This window comes from Homo sapiens, chromosome 2, assembly GCF_000001405.40.
Source record: "Homo sapiens chromosome 2, GRCh38.p14 Primary Assembly".
NCBI lineage: Eukaryota > Metazoa > Chordata > Mammalia > Primates > Hominidae > Homo > Homo sapiens.
The window spans coordinates 55,023,997-55,044,509 of NC_000002.12; the positions used below are offsets into that span (position 1 = coordinate 55,023,997).

The 20,513-nt window shown below is 36.0% G+C and overlaps 1 protein-coding gene across 12 annotated transcripts in view, besides 1 other annotated feature; it reads right to left on the reverse strand.

Moving 5' to 3' along the window:
- RTN4 (reticulon 4) overlaps window positions 1-20,513 on the reverse strand; it is a 165,643-nt gene that overhangs the window by 51,808 nt on the left and 93,322 nt on the right. For 8 of the 12 annotated variants that reach the window (NM_001321904.2, NM_001321859.2, NM_001321860.1 and 5 more), the window contains 2 exons: window positions 4,168-4,224; window positions 1,090-3,489 (listed from right to left, as the gene is read on the reverse strand). The exons of 3 other annotated variants lie outside the window; for them this stretch is intronic. In NM_001321904.2, the coding sequence (NP_001308833.1) occupies window positions 1,090-3,484 (2,395 nt within the window). In that variant the 5' untranslated portion in view covers window positions 3,485-3,489; window positions 4,168-4,224. The remainder of the gene's footprint in view (window positions 1-1,089; window positions 3,490-4,167; window positions 4,225-20,513) is intronic. One more of the 12 variants, NM_207520.2, reaches the window with a different exon arrangement.
- Window positions 9,649-9,698: an enhancer, noted in NCBI's record as "active region_15772". NCBI's record gives its function as "activates an Ori minimal core promoter by ATAC-STARR-seq in GM12878 lymphoblastoid cells {active_cell/tissue: GM12878}" and the evidence as "EXISTENCE:reporter gene assay evidence [ECO:0000049][PMID:35858748]".

Below are 20,513 nucleotides of genomic sequence, written 5' to 3' on the forward strand. Positions count from 1 at the left end.
TCTCTCAAGAGCTTCATGTGTATAATATCCATAACTTACTGGATATCTTAGAGGTATGTACATCAATACCAACATATCCAAAACCAAATTTGTATCTTCCCTCTTAAACCTACTTTAATCTCTCATGTTCCCTATCTCAGTTTCTCATACTGCCACCCATACAAGTGCACATGCCAGAAATGAAATCCAGGGTTCCTGGGGTCATCTTTACCTCTTCCCCTCATCCTTTATGTCCCTATCCGTCAAACACCAAGTCCTATGTCTCTGTGCTCATCCCACTGCCTGAATGTTCATAATCTCCTCTTTCTTAGATTACAGCAACTGGTCTACCACTGTTCCAATGGTGATGAGCTGGACTGTACTGCTGAAGCACCAGCACTTAAATACATAAGTATATTCAGTAAATTTATCATAATCACTATTTTAGAGAAAACGCAGCTAAATCAGAATGCTAATAAAGAGCACATGTGCAAATCACCTTGTGCAAATCACCTTATGCAAATCAGGTATGTGGAAAATGGATAGTCAAAAGAAAAAAAGGAGAATCGGTACTTTTCAAAAGAATTCATAATAGCATAACTCATTTTATACTTTTCAACAAAATGTCTACACTCAATATGCCTAACTTTATACCTACCACTGGAAAAGTACTATATTATATAGAAATATTTAAAACATACTATAGAAATTTTCTTTAAAAATTAAATATGGTAATTTCTGGGATAACAAAAACACATCTGAAAATATTTTAATATCTCTTGCTCTTCATGTTATCAAGAAACACAAGTGAAAAAAGAAAGAAAGAAAGAAATAGGTACTAAAGCCAATTCTTATAAACAAAAATATTTTCTATTAATAGTTCCATAGTGCAATATAAAAGTGTAACTGTGTGGAAAAGTTAAGGGTGAATGCTGAGTGCAAGAGAGTTAGAAAAAGCACTAAAACCTTTAACTGAAAAAGTGGAGAAGACTTCTTACCAATGTGACATATGAGACACTATAAACATAATATAAAACACAAAATGTAGTGGAATGTTCCCTAAATCCAAAAGTGGCATGAAAGCACAAAACTGCATATAGATTGGATTACCTGAAGTTTTACTCAGCTCTGCTGAAAATATAGCAGATGGTGATCTGTCCTCTTTTTCTGTATCGGAAGGAAGTTTTTTCTCAGCTTCTTTCACAAGAACTTTGGGTTTAACTATGCTCTCTATCTCTGCTTGAGTGGCCAAAGCAGAAACATCTGGAGGCAATAAGAGCACCTTTGATGTAGCAGACCCATTTTTAGAAAAGTCATCTGAGAAACTGATTTTCTCTTCAACTTTGGGTTGTATGTTCTTCAAAGAAAGGTCATGGGGCAATTCTGTGCAAGGCAATGACCCAGCTCCATCCGGGGCATTAGCAATTTCACTTTTGTGGGATACTTCTAGGTCAGTATATTCCCTGGCTAATTTAGAAAATGAATCAGTTTTAGAACTGATCAATGTAGGGAACTCATCTATAATTTCAATTGGAGATGAATCTGAAAACGTTTCAGTTTCTCTTATCTGTGCTTCCTTAGAAATAAATAAGTCATCATTTGAATAAACTGCAGTACTGAGCTCCTCCATCTGCAAAGGAATTTTCTCCTTTTTGCTCAATGTTGAAACTTCATCAGGTAACAGGGTATCTTTTGTGTTATCTAAACTGAGCTTAAAAGATTCCAAATATGGCTTTCCTCCCTCAGGTGGCAAAGCACTGAGTTTTTCCTTATTTTCATATTCTATCATTGACTCAAATGAAGTCTCAGTGAGACTTTCTTTCACAAGCATCACAGTTTCATCTTGTTTTTGTGGAACGTCAGGTATTGAATCATCACTAAATAAGTCAACTGGTTCAGAATCAGGTGAGGAATCTTCAACTAGCTCAGAATGATCAGGCACTGGCTGTTCAACTTTTGCCATTTCTGAATAATCAGAGAAATCCGGAGCTGGTTCAGCAGAAAGCTTTGTTTCTTTAATTAAATCACATGCAATAGATATATAAGGAGCTTCTGTTTCTTGAAGAGCTGCATTAATATTTTCAGGCTCTTTAATTTCTTCCTTTATTCCTGATACTTTTTTTAGTGATACACTCATGGCCTCTTCATATGGTGGGGGGTTTTCAGGCTCATGTTTTATGCTTTCATAATTAACTGAAGAAGCTTCTAATGGTGATGAGCTGGGCTGTATCACGGAAGCACCAGCACTAGGAACTGCAGAATTCAATGGTGCTTCCATAACAATGTCAGGCAAAACTGGTGAAGGAGTAGCTTCTGACTCTTCAAATGATGGGCAAAGCTGTGCTGCAGGATAGAGTGACTCTTGCATAACTTCTGATGTTTGAACCAAGTCCATTTTTGTTTCATAAGCAATCTTTGTACCAGTAACTTCATTCAATTCACTTTCACATGCTTCCTGTACTAAATCTGGAGTCAGGCCTTCAGGCATGTTTGCCACGACTTCCTCAGTCACCTTTGTTAAATTATCTGTTGTGACATAATCTGTCTCAGAATCCTGTGCTGCTACAAGAAAAGGGTTTGATGTTTTGGTGCTAGTATTCTTCTCTGTTACTATTTGGGCCTTCTTTTCTTCTATTTTTTTTTCATCGGTCTTATTTTCTGAAGTAGGATCTCCTAACAAAGGAAAAATGTTTGTTGCAATGCTCTCAGTTGCTGCTGGGTTAAAGGGAGCACATGTGATATATGCTCCTGAACGATCCTTTATACCTTCTGGCGTACTGGGGAAAGAAGTATCATCATTACTACTCTCACTATCTTTTTCGTGATTAGTTTGCTCAAGGCTATCTGCAAAACATTTTTTATCCACTTTACTTTCCAAGTTGCTCTCGATTTTACCTCCAGCAGCCAACATATCACTATCTTCCTTACTATCTTTCACTTCCCATACTCGCTCAAATGGTTTGAAGTCTGCATATTCCTCCCTCATAGGAGCTTCCACTGCAACTCTCTTTTCATTAAAACTGTCTTTTGCTTTTTCTGAAGACACAACTTCATCCTCTTTAACCAATTTAGTAAGAGCTGTAGGTAACTCTTGTTGATTATGAAGGATGTTATTACTAACTAACTTCTCTTCTTCATCTTTATTTTTCACGATTATTTCTTCCCTAGGATTTGCTACTATTACGGCAGATTCTGCTTTTGGAGAGACACTGAACGATGATCCCATTTCTGAGTATTCTAATTCTGAAAACTCTGTTAAATCTCTATCTATGAGTAGAGTTTTTGCCTTCTCTGAGACCTCTTTAGAAGCTTCACTGACATTTTCTTGAAGTGTTCCTTCAGTGGGTAATACTGTTGACAAATTACCAAGGTATTCATGTTCTTTGAAAGAAGCGGCTGAGAGAGGAGACAGAGAAGGAAGAGAAGCAGCAGTTTCAAGCAGGACAGATGGGAAATCCTCTTGACCAGCCGAAATAGTGTTACCTGGCTGCTCCTTCAAGTCCATATTTTCTGTGACCATGGACAGAAAGGAAAGTTAGAGAATGCCAGTGTTCTCAGAGTTAATGCAAGTTTTATGACAGATCCAAAATAGTGTTAGTAAAGACTTACTGTTTACTAAAATGAAATGTTAATAGCAATTAATAAGTAACAATAGAGTAGACTTCAATCATTACTGAAAATATTAAGCTATTGTAAATATAACATATGCATGGCTACAGAGGCAATTACATGCTGTGCAAAGACAAATCAAGTCTGAGTAAACCTCAAATGTTATCAACTAAGATACTAATAGCTAGTTTTAGAGAAGAGAAGAATATCTGTGAAAAGAGTTTCGGTGACAGCATAGGAAAGAAGGGGCACTGGGTAAATGCCATAGACTGGTATTTATTTACAGGAAAGCCTTTCTGGCTATACTCAAACTGTATTTGGAGAAAGGGAATGGTAAATATGTAAATGTAATTCAAGGGTCCAAGAATTCCTTATGTACTTCCAAGTATTCATCAGATTTTGCTCATTTTTCCCTTGGGCATACCATATAAAATGCACATTTCAACTTTTCCAGTAGACAAAACATTCTCGGAACCATGCTAATTTTTAGTAAACCCAAACTACTCTGCATAGTGTTAACACACTAAAGAGTTAAAGTTAGAATACAGAGAGGATAAAAGGCTGGCAGAAAGAACTTGCCTGCAGAGGAGCGTATCACAGGCTCAGATGCAGCAGGAAGAGCAAAAAGGGTCTCATCTGAAAAACAAATAGAATATAACCTCAGCAGAAATAAAGACAGATTGAAAGGAGACTAAAGATAAGAGGAGCAAGCCAGGGTTCAGTTTGTAATAAGTTAACAAAAAACTTTACAGAGAAAGGGCCAAGATCAAAAGGAAGTCAGAAAAAGTAGTACCATTAATTCAGGTTAAATCATCATATGTATTATAAAGCTAATTAAATGTTATCCATAGAACCTATCATTTTTCAAGAGGCAATACAACCTGTTTATGTTAAAGAAACTTATGAATCAAAGTGGCTTTAAAATACTGTTCTACTTAACATATCACATCCCAAGCTTTCACTCAGGTTTTCACATAGGTAAATTGTCTTGTTCTATTCAGGCCAAAAACAAAAAGCTGAATTTGAATACAATTAACAACTACAAATGTTTAATCTTTTGTTATTGGCATATATTCAATTTAAAGAAACACTTTTAAAGAATTATGCATTTTCTCTTACATTCTAAGTTGTTACAGTCATTGTACATTGCTCTTTGAAGACATTAGTCCTGTGCCAATGTCCAAATGCCAGAGTCCAAAATACAAAAAAAAAAAAAATTAACTGCCTTTAGGATGACACCATTATTGGTTTTGCTTAAAATTAACCTAAGTGAGGGCTACTTGTTATTTGTATACACAACTAGTAAGTGAGAGACTAAGGCAATTCAATTCCAGAGCCCATTTCCTTAATCACTGTATGTTACAGAACTGAATGCTTATATTTCCTACAAAACTCATGTTAAAGCCCCAACCCCTAAAGTGATAGTATCTGAAGATGGGGACTTTGGGAGGTGATTAGGGTTAAATGCAGTCAGGGTGGGGCCCTGGGCCAAGGGGATTAATGCCCTTACAAGAAGAGACACCAGAGAGCTTGCTGTCATGCTCCCTGTCTCCCCAGGCACACACAAGAGGTCATGTGTGCACACAGTGAGATGGTGGTCACCTATAAGCCAGGAGAAGAGGCCTCAAAAAGAAATCTACCTTGCCAGCACCTTGATCTTAGACTTACCAGCCTCCAGAATTGTGAGAAGTAAATTTCTGTTCAGCCACCCAGCCTATGGTATTTTGTTACGGCAGCCCAAGCTAACTAATACACTCTATATTGGTAATATTAACTTTGTACAATGTCATCTTGTACCTGCAGTTGGGAGATCCTAAGCTAAAGATCTTCCATGGTTTACACTAGAGAAAGGCCTCTACCATCAGACAATTTGAAACAGCCTGAGAGATGACTGGAAGGTGATATTCCTTTAACAGAGAGAACCTAATAAATTTAGACAATTTCATCTGGATGGACAAGCTAGACAAGGCTGATCAAAACAGATAAAAATCCAAGAAATGTAGCTAACATGAATACGGACTTGTCTTCCAAGCATATTACCCTTAATGAATTAGGAGAGCTAACTTCACAAGGTCTTATATATTTTAGATAAATATATACTGGGCATGAAGTCATACTTAAAGGATTCCTAGATGAGGGTGATGACGGGAAATTTATGATGTGTGTTTAAAAGGGTTTCCTCCAACCTAGAGCACTAGGTAGGATGGGCTATCCAGTCAAAGGGGTAACATAATGGCTTATAAGATTTTTAAATAAAGTGCATATATATGTGTACACATATTTAAAAGATTACTTGCTATGTGATCTTAAATTACAGTTTCTCATTTGTAAAATGAAGGAAAGTTCCCTTCAGCTAAAATAATGAATTATTAGCTTGTATAAAACTGAAATTTGAGGGTCAAAGAGCAGAACCAAATAATTACGCAGCTGCTCCATCTAAATAACAGTTAACCAATTCTTAACAAAATGGTTGTCTTTTTTATCTAGACAATATAGTTAAAAGCCACTAATTCAGAGGCTAGTCTATCTGGAAAGTGAACTAGAAACATATATTACTGTTAAAGTTAGTGGGAAAACAAACTACATCTAAATTTGTGCCATAATTTTAAAGTATTTTTTTAATGTACTGTACTCTTATTCCTACCTAGTGCAATAATCTTTTATAATAAAAACTATATTCCTGGAATTTTTCTAAGTAAAAAAGTTTTCAAATTGGTATTTCAAAGATTCATTATGTTTAAGAAAAAAAGAAAAATCTTCATTTTGTAAAATGGGATTCGATCCAGTTACCCATAAAACAAGTACTACATTTCTAAAAGCTCTTTAAAAAAATCCAGAATAGTTAACTATCTTCTGGGACTTCAAGAATACAGTTCAGACTCCTAATAAAGCAATCACAGATCATGAAATTGAATTGCCTAAGTCCAAATCACAAATCCATCACTTACAACTGTAACTCTTAGCCTTTCTGTGCCTAATGAAACTTGTAAAATAAGGATAATAAGAGTACCCACCTAAAAATGTTGTGAAGGAGGGAGAGGGAAAGAAAAAAGAAGAAACAACTTGCCCTAAGTCACAGAACTAGGAGGCCAGAGGGTCAAAACATCTAATTCCCAAGTCTTTGTGCTTTATAATTATTATTATTTTTTGGCTAGGCTTCCTCAAAGCACGAGATGTGCTTCATCTTCTGAAGGATGTATTTATGTACAAGTGCAACTGGTGCAATCCTTCTTACTGTATCAGCCCCTCAAGTTAGTTCTCCTGAAACAAGGTAAATCGTCACCCAGTAAATACCTTGTAATTAGCAGAAATATTGCATTGATCAATTGCTTCTATTTTACAATGTAACAACATTTATAGAAACATTAATGTGGGACAGGTACTGTGCTGAGCCGGCACATTTGTTTCAGATGTTCATTCTGTTCTCAAAACTACCCTGTAAGGTAGGTACTACTGTTACCCCCATTTCACATACGAGAAAAGAGGCATTTAAATCATATCTAATTACAATACTACAAAAAACCTGCATTTTAAAACCATAGAACTTCTGCTTCTGGCTATGAGAGTAATTACAACAGACTAATTCTTCCAATATAAGCAACTAAAAATATGGGCAAAATACTAGAAGCAACTATCTTGAGACACTGGACAAGAGGCAGGACAGCAGTGTGAATCCTGAGAAAAGGGAAACCTGCAAGATGACTACGCTGCTTTCTGTCTGAAGGCACATTCTGGTCTACAGTACAGAGAGAAGCCTAAGAATACCGCACTCTTGCTAAGCTGAGGAGGCTGAGGAGTTGTCTGGAATTTGTGAGACAGGGTAACATACAAAGTAAAGCCTCACAGAAAAGGAGCTCCAAAAATCTGGATAGGGGTTCCTCTTAAACCTCTGGGTGAATACTACGCTGCATGTGCACAGCACAAGACTCGGCAAGGCCTAGCCAAGAAACCTATGGTAGAGCTGCAAATTAACTGGATTATATCGAAGGTCAGAAAGTGCTGAAGACCTGATCTAAAAATTCTGACCAGTCAGAAAGGAAAGATCTCTCTAAACACCTCAAGCAGGACTACTCTAAGCCTAAAGGATACTCTAGACCAAGAGTCAGCAAACCATGGCTCATGAGCCCATATTGTATTGGAACACAGCCACGCCCATTCACTTCTGTGCTGTCTATAACTACTTTTGCACAATAAAAACAGAGACGAACAGTTTAGACAAAGGCTGTATGGCCCACAAGCCTAAACTATTTACTCTAACTGGCCCTGTAAGTCTGCAGACCCCTACCTCTAGACCCACCCTAACTTTAAAATCAAAACTTGAAAGGATCAAAATGATTTTCCAGCAAATTAACTGCCTGCCAGAACAAAGTTAAAACCACCAAATCCATGACATGCAGTATAAAATAAATTAATGGACATGCAAAGCAGCAAGAAAATATGACCATAAATAAGAAAGAATAGCAAATATAAACAAACAAATAACGTAGACGTTGGATTCGCACTTTTTTTTTTTTGAGGCGGAGTCTTGCTCTGTCACCCAGGCTGGAGTACAGCGGGGCTATCTTGGCTCACTGCAACCTCCACCTCCCAGGTTCAAGCAATTATCCCACCTCAGCCTCTGAGTAGCTGGGATTACAGGTGTCTGCCATCACACCAAGCTAATTTTTGTGTTTTTAGTAGAGACGGGGTTCACTACGTTGGCCAAGCTGGTCTCAAACTCCTGACCTCAAGTGATCCGCCAGCCTCAGCTTCCCAAAGTGCTGGAATTACAAGTGTGAACTAACACACCTGGCCTGGATTAGCAAATATTAAAATGAAAATTAAAATAGCTATTAAGATATTAAGTACAGAAAAAGACAGACATATAGAGTAGACAGGGAATCTTGGTGGAGAAATATAGACTAAAGGACCAAATGGAGATGCTAGAATTGTAAATTATATTAACTGAAAATAATCACTAGATGAGCTTAAAGGCAGATTAGACAATACAGAAAAAAAGATTTATTGATAAACAAACTTAAAAAACAACAACAGAAAGTATCCAAACTGAAACACAACAAGGGAAAAGGGCAAGTGAAAAAAGGAACAGAGCCTCAGTGCTGAGAGACAATCAAGGAGTTAAAATACCTATAATTGCAGTCCCCTTAAAAAAAGCAACAGTGGCCAGGCATGGGAGCTCATGCCTGTAACCCCAACACTTTAGGAGGCCAAAGTGGGAGGACCACTTGAGGCCAGGAGTTGGGACACCAGTTTGGACAACACAGTGAGACCCTATCTCTACAAAAAACTTAAAAATTAGCCGGTGTAGTGGTGCACACGTGCAGTTCTAGCAACTCAGGAGGCTGAGATGGGAGGATCACTCAAGCCCAGGAGTTTGAGGCTGTAACAAGCCATGATCACGCCACTGCACTCCACCCTGGACAACACAGTTAAGACCCTGTCTCTTTAAAAAAGACTGAAGAAGTTAAAAAAAAAAAAAAAGAAAAAATGGCCTAAAATTGGACAGAAGTTGGCATTTTGAAAATACCAACCAACAGAGCCACAAAGCTCAATGTACTCCAAGCAGAATAAACACAACACCACAAAAAGGCACACCATAAGGGTCAAACTGAAAATCAAAGATAGAGACAACCCTAAAAACAGTCAGAGGAAAAAAGCAGGTAAACAACAATAAGAATGACCTCACCTCTCATTGATGTAATCCAAAAGGTAATGAACGCCTTTAAAGTTATGAAAAAACTGACAATCTAAAATTATATACAGATGATCCTCATTATTCATGGATTCCTTATTTGCTCATTTACCTGCTCACTAAATTTGTAGCCCCAAAATCCATACTTGCAGCACTTTCAGGACATGCAATGAGCAGAGCAGGCAAACCAGAGCGGGTCATCCAAAGTACAAGTTCCCAGCTGAGATGGAACAAGGTAACCCTACCGCCTTCTTGTTTCAGCTCTGCCACTGACTTCCCTGTTTCATATGGCCCTTAAGCACAGCGCTGACATGGTATCGAGTGTTTTTAACCACAAGAAGGCTATGATGTGCCTTACAGAGAAAACATATGTTAGATAATCTTCCTTCAGGCATAAATTATAGTGTTCTTGGCCATGAGTTCAATGTTAATGAATCAATAATACATATTAAATAAGATGTCTTTATTTTTTAATTGATATATAACAGTTGTTTTATATTTTGGTAGTACATATGATATTTTGATACCTATATGCAATGTGTAATGATCAAGTCAGAGTGACTGGGTTATATATCACCTCAAACATTTTTCTTTTCTTTGTGTTAGAAACATTACAATTCTTCTAGCTATTCTGAAATATAGAATAAATCATTAACTATAATTTCTCTACTGTACTATCAAATACTAGAACTTATTCCTTCTATCCAACTGTATTTTTGTACCCCAGGTGGCTTTAAATAGAAAAACACATAAAACAAGGTAATATACTGATTGGTTAACAAAAATATTATGACAAGAGGCTTACAGGAGCCAAGTCTGTATTTCCCCTAAGAACAATGATTCAGTATTTGCTAATTCCCTGTTTTTGGTGGCTATACAGAACATAGTGACAGCTTAAAAAAACAGAATTGGCTGTATTATTCAAAACATATTTTTTTAAATAACCAGGCATGGTGGCTCACACCTGTAATCTCAGGACCGTAGGAGGCTGGGGTAGGAGGATTGCTTGAGCCCTGGGGTACGAGACCAGCCCAGGCAACAAAGTGAGACCCCAACTCTCCAAAAAAATTAAAACATTAGCCAGGCACGGTAGCGTGTGCCTATAGTCCCACCTACTTGGGAGGCTGAGGTGGGAGGATCACTTGAGCCCAGGAGTTTGAGGCTGCAGTGGGTTATGATCAGGCCACTGGACTCCAGCCTGGGCAACAGAGTAAGACCTTATCTCTAAACGAACAAACAAAATATATAGAAAAAGTAAAGATTAATAAAGGTATCTTCAGATAAAAGCTGAAAACAGAAGCTGAAAGAATTTGTCACTAAGACACCTACAATACAAGAAATGTTAAATCAAGTTCTTCAGACTGAGAGAAAATGATATGAGATGTAAACTTTGATCTTTATGTAGGAATAAAGAATGGCAAAAATGGTAAATATATATGTAGATGTTGAATATACAGGTAGATGTTAATTTTTCTCATTTCTTAGTTTCTTCAAAGAATAACTTTCTGAAGCACAAATTATCACAAAATACAATAACTATAATACATTTAGAAGCAAAACTTATGACAATAAAAGCACAAAGGATGAAAATAGTATATGAAAGTATGTTTTATTACATGTGAAACATGTAAGGTGGTATAATATTCTTGCTATTTTATGATAAATTGAGAATGCATTCTGTAATCCCTAGAACAGCCTCTTAAAAAATAAAGAGGTACAGCTAAAACCCCAACAGAGGAGATAAATCTGAATATTATAAAATCCTTGATTAATCCAGAAGAAGAAACAAAAGAAGAAAATCAAAGAACCCAAAAAGCAGATGGGACAAAGAAAAAACAAAGACACACAACCACACACTATCAGTTAGGATACAGATGATTTAGGCCCCACTACCAATGAGCTAAACTGACTTTTATGGAACACTACAACCAACAATATAATACACATTCTTCTCAAGTACATATGGAACATTCACCAAGATAAAACATTTCCTGGGCTACAAAACAATCTCAATCTAAAACAAGTGAAATCATGCAGTCTATGTTCTACAATGAATTAAATCACCTAAAATATCCTCAAATGTTTAAAAACGAAACTACAGAATTCTAAATAATCCATGAATCAAAGAAAATAGGGGGAAAATTAAAGAAATTCTGAATCAAATGATCATGAAAATGTGTGGGATGCAGCAAAGTAATGCTTAGAGAGAAATGTATAGCTTTTAAATGCTTTTAGAAAAAAGGCTTAAAATCGAAGTGTAAAGCTTCCACTTTAAAAGAGCAAGTTAAATCCAAACAAGTAAAAGAAAATAAGTAGTAAAGAGCAGAAACCAATGATAGAAAACAGATTAAAAAAAAAAATCAATGAAACAAAAAGTTGCTTCCCTGAAAAGATCAACAGAATTGATAATCAACTAAAATGATCAAGACAGAGACTGAGAGACAGAGAGAGGAAGCAAGTATTGAAAATAAAAGAGGGACTGTTACTGTAGGTCCTAAAAACGTAAGAGAATATTATGCACACATTTATGACAATAAATTAGACAACTTAGATGAGTAGACAACTTCCTTGATGTCTACTTATCAAAATGAAAGACAAGTTTCTTTATACCCAGTCATCAAAATGAAATAGATGCATTCCTTGAAAGACACAAATCACCAAAACTGACACAAGCAGAAATCAAAAATCAGAATAGTCCTATGTGACTATACTTGTAACTTAAAACCCCCACGAAGAAAACTAATATAAAACATCTAATGAATAGTACCAACCTTACACAAACTCTTTGAGCATATAAAGGAAAAGCAAACACTTCCCATAAAATTTTTATAGATTTATGCATTAATACCAAAACCAGACAAGGATATAACACGAAAATTAAAATTAATTTATATAACAATATTCCTCATAACCACACATGCAAAAAATCTTCAATAAAATAGTAGCAGATTGAATCCAGCAACTCATAGAAAGTATAATCATCACCAAATGGGGTTTAATTCCAGGAAGGTGAGGTTGGTTTAACATTCAAAATCAAACAATAGGTCGCACGCAGTGGCTCATGCCTGTAATCCCAGCACTTTGGGAGGCTGAGGTGGGCAGATCACTTGAGGCCAAGAGTTTGAGACCAGCCTGGCCAACATGGTAAGACCCTGTCTCTACTAAAAATACAAAAATCACCCAGGTGTGGTGGCGTGCACCTGTAGTCCCAGCTACTCAGGAGGCTGAGGCACAAGAAACGCTTGAAACCAGGAGGCAGAGGTTGCAGTGAGCCAATATCGTGCCACTGCACTCCAGCCCAGGCAACAGAGCAAGACTGTCTCAAAAAAAAAAAAAAAAAAAAAAAAATTAAAAAAATTTAAAAAGTTTTTTTAAATCATATAATGAAATTCACTATAGTAACAACAGCCCGAAAAGGAAAAACCATATGATCATCTCAACAAATGTCAAAAACTTATCTGACAAATTTCAACACCTGTTATCATAAAAACTATCAGCAAACTAGGAATAGAAGGAAGCTTTCTCAACCTAAGAGTCAGGATATCTAGGAAAAATATGCAGCTAACATCATACTTAAAGGTGAAAGACTAATGCATTCACTCAAGATTCTGTGTTAAACAAGCAATCTACCAGGCTTCTCGTAAAGATCTGAAGAGAAAAGTAAAACTATCTTAACTTACAGACAACAGGACTGTATAGTTGGAAAATCCTAAGGATTCAAAATAAAATAACCCTACCAAAGCTAGTAGTGAATTTATAAGGATACAGGATAGATGCAAAGACAGTACACAAAACTTAACTCTATTTCCATACAGTAGCAACAAAGAGAAAATGAAAATATTTTCTAAATATCACTCACTGTAACAAAAAAACATAAAATATTTAGGCATAAATTTGACAAGAGATGCACAAAACTGCTATACTGAAACACACTGCTGAGAGAAATTACAGATGATCTAAACAACAGAGATATCACATTCATGGGTTGAAAGATATAATATTGTTGAGTGTCAGGAAACAGTTCTCTATGAGTATATTGTGTTTTTACACATCTTCCCTTTGTTCCTATCTTTTAAAAACATTTGTATTGTGAACAGCCTTGGAAAACAGGGACAGTTTCTTCTTCTTCAGCAACTAGCAGCCATGCTTATTATATGACACAAAAGATTTGTTTCCCTAAGCTTAAGATTTCTGTCTATAATACAACCTGCTACAGGTGCAGATCTCACTCAGCCATCTCAGTGTTGCTCCATGTGAAATGGAGCTGAGGGAACTGGCACAAGAAAATGCTAATATTCTGGCTACTGTCATTGCTGTGAGTAATAAAGTCCTCTGCCTCTGACCCAGGCATCTTATATCCTCTGCCAGCATCCATGAAACTATGACAGGCTAACTTGTTACCTTTGAAGTAGTGTAAAATCTCAAATCCTAAGACGTCACTTATCCCCCCTACTAATCTCTAGATTCAATGCAATCCCAATCAAATTCATAACAGGCATTTTATAGAAATGAACAAGCTGATTCTGAAATTTATGCAGAAATACTAAGGGACCTAGAAGACACAAAACAATTTTGAAAAAAGATCAAACTTGCAGTCATACTACTTAATTTTACGACTTGCTATAAAACTACAATAATCAAGTATTGGCATAAGGATAGACAAATCAGTAGAACAAAATAGATATATATAAATAGACACACTTCATATGGTCAATTTCTTTTCCCAAAGGCACCAAAGCAATTCAATAGAAAGAGAAAAATATTTTCAAAAAACTCTGCTGGGAAAACTGCTTATTATATGTATGGAAAAGAAACAAATAAATCTGGATCTATGGTAACTCATACCATAGACAAAAACTACCTCAAAACGGATCAAGACAAACAAAAGCTAAAACTATCAAGCTTCTAGAAGAAACCAAAGTGTCTTCACAATCCTGGAAGGAGGCAAAGATGTCTTAGACATCACAAAGAAAGCACTAACCATGAAAGAAAAAGTAATTATGACTTCTCAAAATTAAAAATTTATACTCATCAAAAGAATCAATAAAATTAATAGGCAAGCTACAGACTAGGAGAATATATTCACAACACATGTATCAGACCAAAGATTTGTATTCATAATATATAGAGAGAACTCTTACAAATATGTAGGAAAAAAAAAGGCATACAACACAATTTAAGAATGGGCAAATTACTTGAACAGACACTTCACCAAAGAAAACACACACAAAGGACATGTAAAAGTCCTCTAATTCATTAGTCCCTAGGGAAATCTAGATTAAGACCACAATGAGGAACCACTACATAACCACTAAAATGGTTAGAATTTAAAAAACTGACAATATCAAATGTTGGTGAAAACGTAAAGCCACCAGAATTCTCACACATTGCTGGTGGAAGTGGTTGGGGGAACAGTTAAGCAACTTCTTATAAAGTTAAATATATAGTTACCCCATGACTCAGCAATTCTACTCTCAAGTATTTACCTAAGAGAAATGAAAATATATGCATACAAAAATGTCTATGTAAGAATGTTCACAGCATTTTGTTCATAGTAGCCAAAAACTATAATCCAAACATCCAACGAGTGAATACATAATTAAACTGTGCTATTCTTAGCATGGAATACCACTCAGCAGTTAAAAGGAACAAATTACTGATACCTGCAGCATCATTAGTAAGTCTTAAAAGCATCATGCTGAATGCAAGTAGCCAAGCACAAAATGTATGATTCCATTCATATGATTGATGCTTTAAAATACGTAAAACTAATCTATGATGAAAGAAATCAAAACAGTAGTTGTTTGGGATTGGTGTTGCGGGTAGGAACCAGAGCAAAGAATTGAAGGACTGACTGCTAAGGACCCAAGAGATCTTTCTAGGATGATAGAAATGTTCTATATCTTGTCAGAGGTGTGGATAAACTAATGTACGCATTTGTCAAAATGTAAAACTGTTGAAACTTAAAATTTATGCATTTTACTGCATGTAAATTATATCTTAATAAAAACATTAAGGTGAAAAAGGTGTATGGGCATTCTTCAACAAATAAATTGCAGAGAGAGAGAGACCACAAGCAAGGGAGAACTCATCGATAGATTAAAAGACTAATAAATCAAATTGATCTATTGTAATATGTGGACCTTACTCGAATTCTGATTCTAACTGTAAAAATAAAAAGAAAGAAAGAAAGACCATTTATGACATTCAGTAAATAATAGTCAATGTGAGGCCAGGCGCGCTCGCTCACACCAGCACTTTGGGGGGCCGAGGCAGGTGAATCACCTGAGGTCAGGAATTCGAGACCAGCCTGCCCAATATGGTGAAACCCCATCTCTACTAAAAATACAAAAATTAGCCAGGTGTAGTGTTGGGTGCCTGTAATCACAGCTACTCGGAGACTGAGGCAGGAGAATCACTTGAACCCAGGAGGTGGAGGTTGCAGTGAGCCAAACTTACACCACTGCACTCCAGCCTGGGTGACAAGAGTGAAACTCCATCTCTAAATAAATAAATGGAAATGTGAACATTAGCTGGATGCTTGATACTAATTCTATTGTATTGAAGACATTTTAACCGTAGTTTTACCCTCAACTCTTTTAGTATTCCATTAAAATATATACATGTTTGAGTCTATCAATCTTAAACTTAACCATATCCCCTGCAACATATTTCATTAACAAAATTTTAATAAGGGAACAAGAGTAAGTTTGGTTGATGAGAGAGGGTAAATGAGAAGGTATGTTGTAGGTGGCAGTTTCTCAGTCCTTGTTCAAAAGTGATGTCTTATAGCCCTAATCCTTATGGCAGATCTCTGTGCAGTACATATAGCCTATAAAATATAATGAAATACTAACTTGATCTTCTATATTCTGATTTTCAATAATTCACCTATGCAAGCAAAAGCATCTAACAAAGTTTTTATCAAGTTATTTTATATAAAATTTGGTTTTTATACAAAATTAAAATATCAGAATTTGATAAAATAAAACTTTCCATAATTTAACAATGATGTTGATGAATTGAGACTGAAGTTCTAGACTATGAAAGGGATTTATAACACAGATACAAGCATCTTTGGTAACCTCTTCAGAAGAGAATAAATAAAAGTAAATTCCCTTATTTTCTGAGATCAAAACCTCTAGTAGCTTAAAAAAAAAAAGTTGTAACACTTTTAGGTCACCTCCATCTACGGTTGTCAGGGCACTGAGATAAATGAACTCAATAATGGCACCTTCCATTTAGGCGAGTTTATAAATCAACCTACAAAGTTGGGGAGAAAGAACACGTAGGCAGACCTGGAATCCTTAAGTAAGCTTCTCTCTTTCCACAAAAGCAGTTCACAGATCTGTAAATATGTCCTGTAAGGCCAATCACAAAACTCCTCTGGTTTTAAGAGCAGAAAATTCTTTACAACTAAGGGCCTGTATTTTTTCCTTCATCTGCTACCTATACCTCTCATAAGTACAACCTCTATTCATCTTTCTTGTCCTCTTACTCAGCCCTAGGCCTAGTTAAAAAAAAAAAGGAATATATTAATTTTTTTCTTAATATTGAACTTCCAAGAGACCACCAATATAAGCAGCAACTCCAAACTCTTGAACAACAAAACTTTATAAACTTTCTGTATCTGTGGTAACAATTCCATCAATGAGAAAAACAAGCTATTAAAGAAATAATTATTTTTGAAAAGTAGAGGGCCACCTATGTAAAGAGACTGCTTTAAAAAAAAAAAATCCAGTATTTGGCAGCTATAGCTCCTAATACAAGAGTACAGAGAATATTTCTTTCTTTCTCAACACAATTTTTTTTTTTTTTTGGAAATGAAAAAGCAGGAAGACTTAGCTTTCTTTCTCAGTCAATTATCAATTGAAAAGAGAGAGCCAAATACCTGTATAATTCAGTATGTTACAAGGAGGCTAGAATATTTATTTTTAAAAGTCTCTAGTTCACCTAATTATATGCTAAATTTTTTTTAAATACATGTTAATAAAAACCACGTGTTTATGGAAAAATACACAATATCAACACCGAATGTATTTCAATTCTCCCCAAAATTAATCCATAAATGTAATGCAACCTACTAAAACTCCAACAGAGGGAGAGGGGACAAGATAAAAAAAATTTTAAGATGAAGTAGAAAATTATACACACATAAGATAGCCAAGAAAAATATTTATGGAAAAGCCGTTTAGCTAGTATTTAAAAATTATAGCACAACAGTCTGATACTTCTGTGTGAACTGACAGATAAATGGAAAAGCAGAGGAAATATTTCACCCATACTACAAGAATATGACAAAAATGGTACTTCAAAGTGGTTAAGAAGGATAATTCAAAATAAAAGGTATTGGAACAAATGGGAAATAATCTTGAAATATAAAATTATTTCACTACTTCACTCTCTAGAACAAAACAAACTGCAAATAAATCAAATAATTAAATGTTAAAATGAAATCATAAAAAGTATAAAAGTACTTACTAGGAGTAAACATGGGGGAAAATTTTTATGATCCTCAAGAAGGATTTTCTAAGGATTACATAAAACTCAATGACTTTTTTCACTTTTATGACTCAAAGTCATAAAAGAAAATGATAAATCTGACTACATAAAAATTTCTAAACAGAAAAACATACCATATGGTCAAAATACAAATAACAAATCAATAAAAAGTTTTCAAGACATATGACAAAAGGCTAGTTTCCTTACAATGCAGATTAAGTGAATCTACATACATGAGACCAAAAACCCAAAAGAATAGGCAAAAGCTGTGATCAGAAAAAATTTGACACCTAAGCCTATGAAAAATGACTCAAATTTAAAAGAACAATTTGCTAAACAATGTATTAGTTCACTAATATACTGTGTTGGTAAAGATATAAGGGAAAAGGTACCTTAACAGGTTGGTGGGAATAAAGGTTGGAACCATTCTTTGAATGACACTTTGGCATTAGCTACCAACATTTTAAATGCAAATATCCTTTGAAGCAGTAATTCTACTTGCACAGATTTATCCTACAACATATATAATGGCATGTATTCCCAAAGAAGTGTATACAAGAGTGTTCACAGAAATAGTATTTGTAAGAGAAAAAACTAAGTATCAACCTAAATAACCATCAATAAGGGACTGATTAAATAAAATATGGTACATCCCCAGAGTCCTCTGCATCTATTTTTGTGGAAAATAAAGTGAAAAGGATATACATGTATAAATAAATATTTATCCACAGATTATCTCTAAACAGATACTCAAGAAACTACTAACAGAGGGTGGATCTACAGAAGACAATTTGTGGAAATCTGGGTAACAGGTAGAAAGAGTTACTTTTCTGTGTATTCTTGTAGTACTGTTTGGAATTGTTACCTTGTATACATAAATAAATAAATGCTTTCGTAAGATTTGGGATTTTTATTGAGAGAAGATATTATAGTAATTCTAGAACTATACAGAATATGAAGATCAGCATCTTTCTCATTCAACAAACTGAGTGCCTATCACATCTAAGGCACTGCAATGCAGACACAATGCATACAGTCCTTTTCCTCAAAGAAAAAGGTCACAGCACCTTTCCTCAAGGAGTACACTGTCTGGTGGAGGAAAGAAATCAGTAACCATACCATTACCTTATATAGAATGATATATACTATGAAGAGGTAAGAACAGAATATTATGGAAACACGTGATGAAAGCAACTTAAAAATCAATGATCATCATTCCAAGAAACATAAATATCAATAGCTTAAATATGAAATTATCAACTCCTCCTTTGGGGTTAAAAAGGATGATGATGGCATTAGTCTGAGAAAATCTTAGCATCAGTAAAGCTGGGTCTCATCATTTTGCATACCTATGTCCTGCACTAGCTATCCACAAAGGTCACATTCATTCAAACACTACTGAGAACTATGGTTTTACCATTACAGTTCCCATCCCTAGTGCTGTCATCCTCAGAAGAACCTGATCCCTTTAGAAACAGGAACAAAAAGTCTCAAAGAATGTACCATAAGTATAGTATATCTGCAACATTTACTTCTATTTATTTAAGGGTTCCAGGGAAGAATCAAGAAATAGCCATTCAGTTTATACTTTTATCCTGGGCTAGCAAAGTACCTTAAAAAGGAACCATTAAATTGAGGCTTTGAATCAAGTTATTCTAATAAGTTGCTTGAAGGTATATTATGAAAATAAATGGCGGGGCACAGTGGCTCACACCTGTAATTTCAACACTTTCAGAAGTCGAGGTGGGAGAACTGCTTGAGCCCAGGAGTTCAAGACCAACCTGGCCAACATAGTAAGACCCCATCTTTAAAAAAATAAAAATAAGGCTGGGAGCAGTGGCTCACACCTGTAATCCCAGAATTGTGGGACACCGAGGCAGGTGGGTCACCTGAGGTCAGGAGTTCAAGACCAGCCTGGCCAACATGGTGAAACCCCGTCTCTACTAAGAATACAAAAATTAGCCAGGTGTGGTGGCACATGCCTGTGGTCCCAGCTACTCGGGAGGCTGAGGCAGGAGAATTGCTGGAACCTAGGAGGTGGAGGTTGCAGTGAGCCAAGATTGCGCCACTGCACTCCAGCCTGGGCTACAGAGCAAGACTCCACCTCAAAAATAAAATAAAATAAAAATAAAAATAAAAATATATTTAGGCTGGGTGTGGTGGCTCACGCCTGTAAACCCAGCACTTCGAGAAGACTGCTTGACCTCAGGAATTTGAGCCCAGCCTGGGCAACATGGCGAAACCCTATCTGCACGAAAAACACAAAAATTAGCCGGGCGTGGTGGTACGTGCCTGTGGTCCCAGCTAGTTGGGAGGCTGAGGTGGCAGGATCACTTGAGCCCAGAAGATGAGGCTGCAGTGAGCCAAGACTGCACCACTATACTTTAGCCTGGGTGAAAGAGCAAGACCCTGTCTCCAAAATATAAATACATAAATATAAAAGTTTTTTTAAAAAATTTTAAAAATAGCCAGCATGGTGGTGTGCACCTGTAGTCTCAGCTACCTGGGGGGCTGAAGTGGGAGGACTGCTTAAGCCCAGGAGGTCAAGGGTATAGTGAGCCATAATCATGCCACTGCACTCCAGCCTGAGCGACAGAGTAAGACTCTGTCTCAAAAGAAACAAACAAACAAACAAACAAACAAAAAAACTTGCCAGGCATGGTGGCTCATGCCTGTAATCCCAGCACTTTGGGAGGTCCAGGCAGGAGGATTGCTTCAGGCCCCAAGTTTG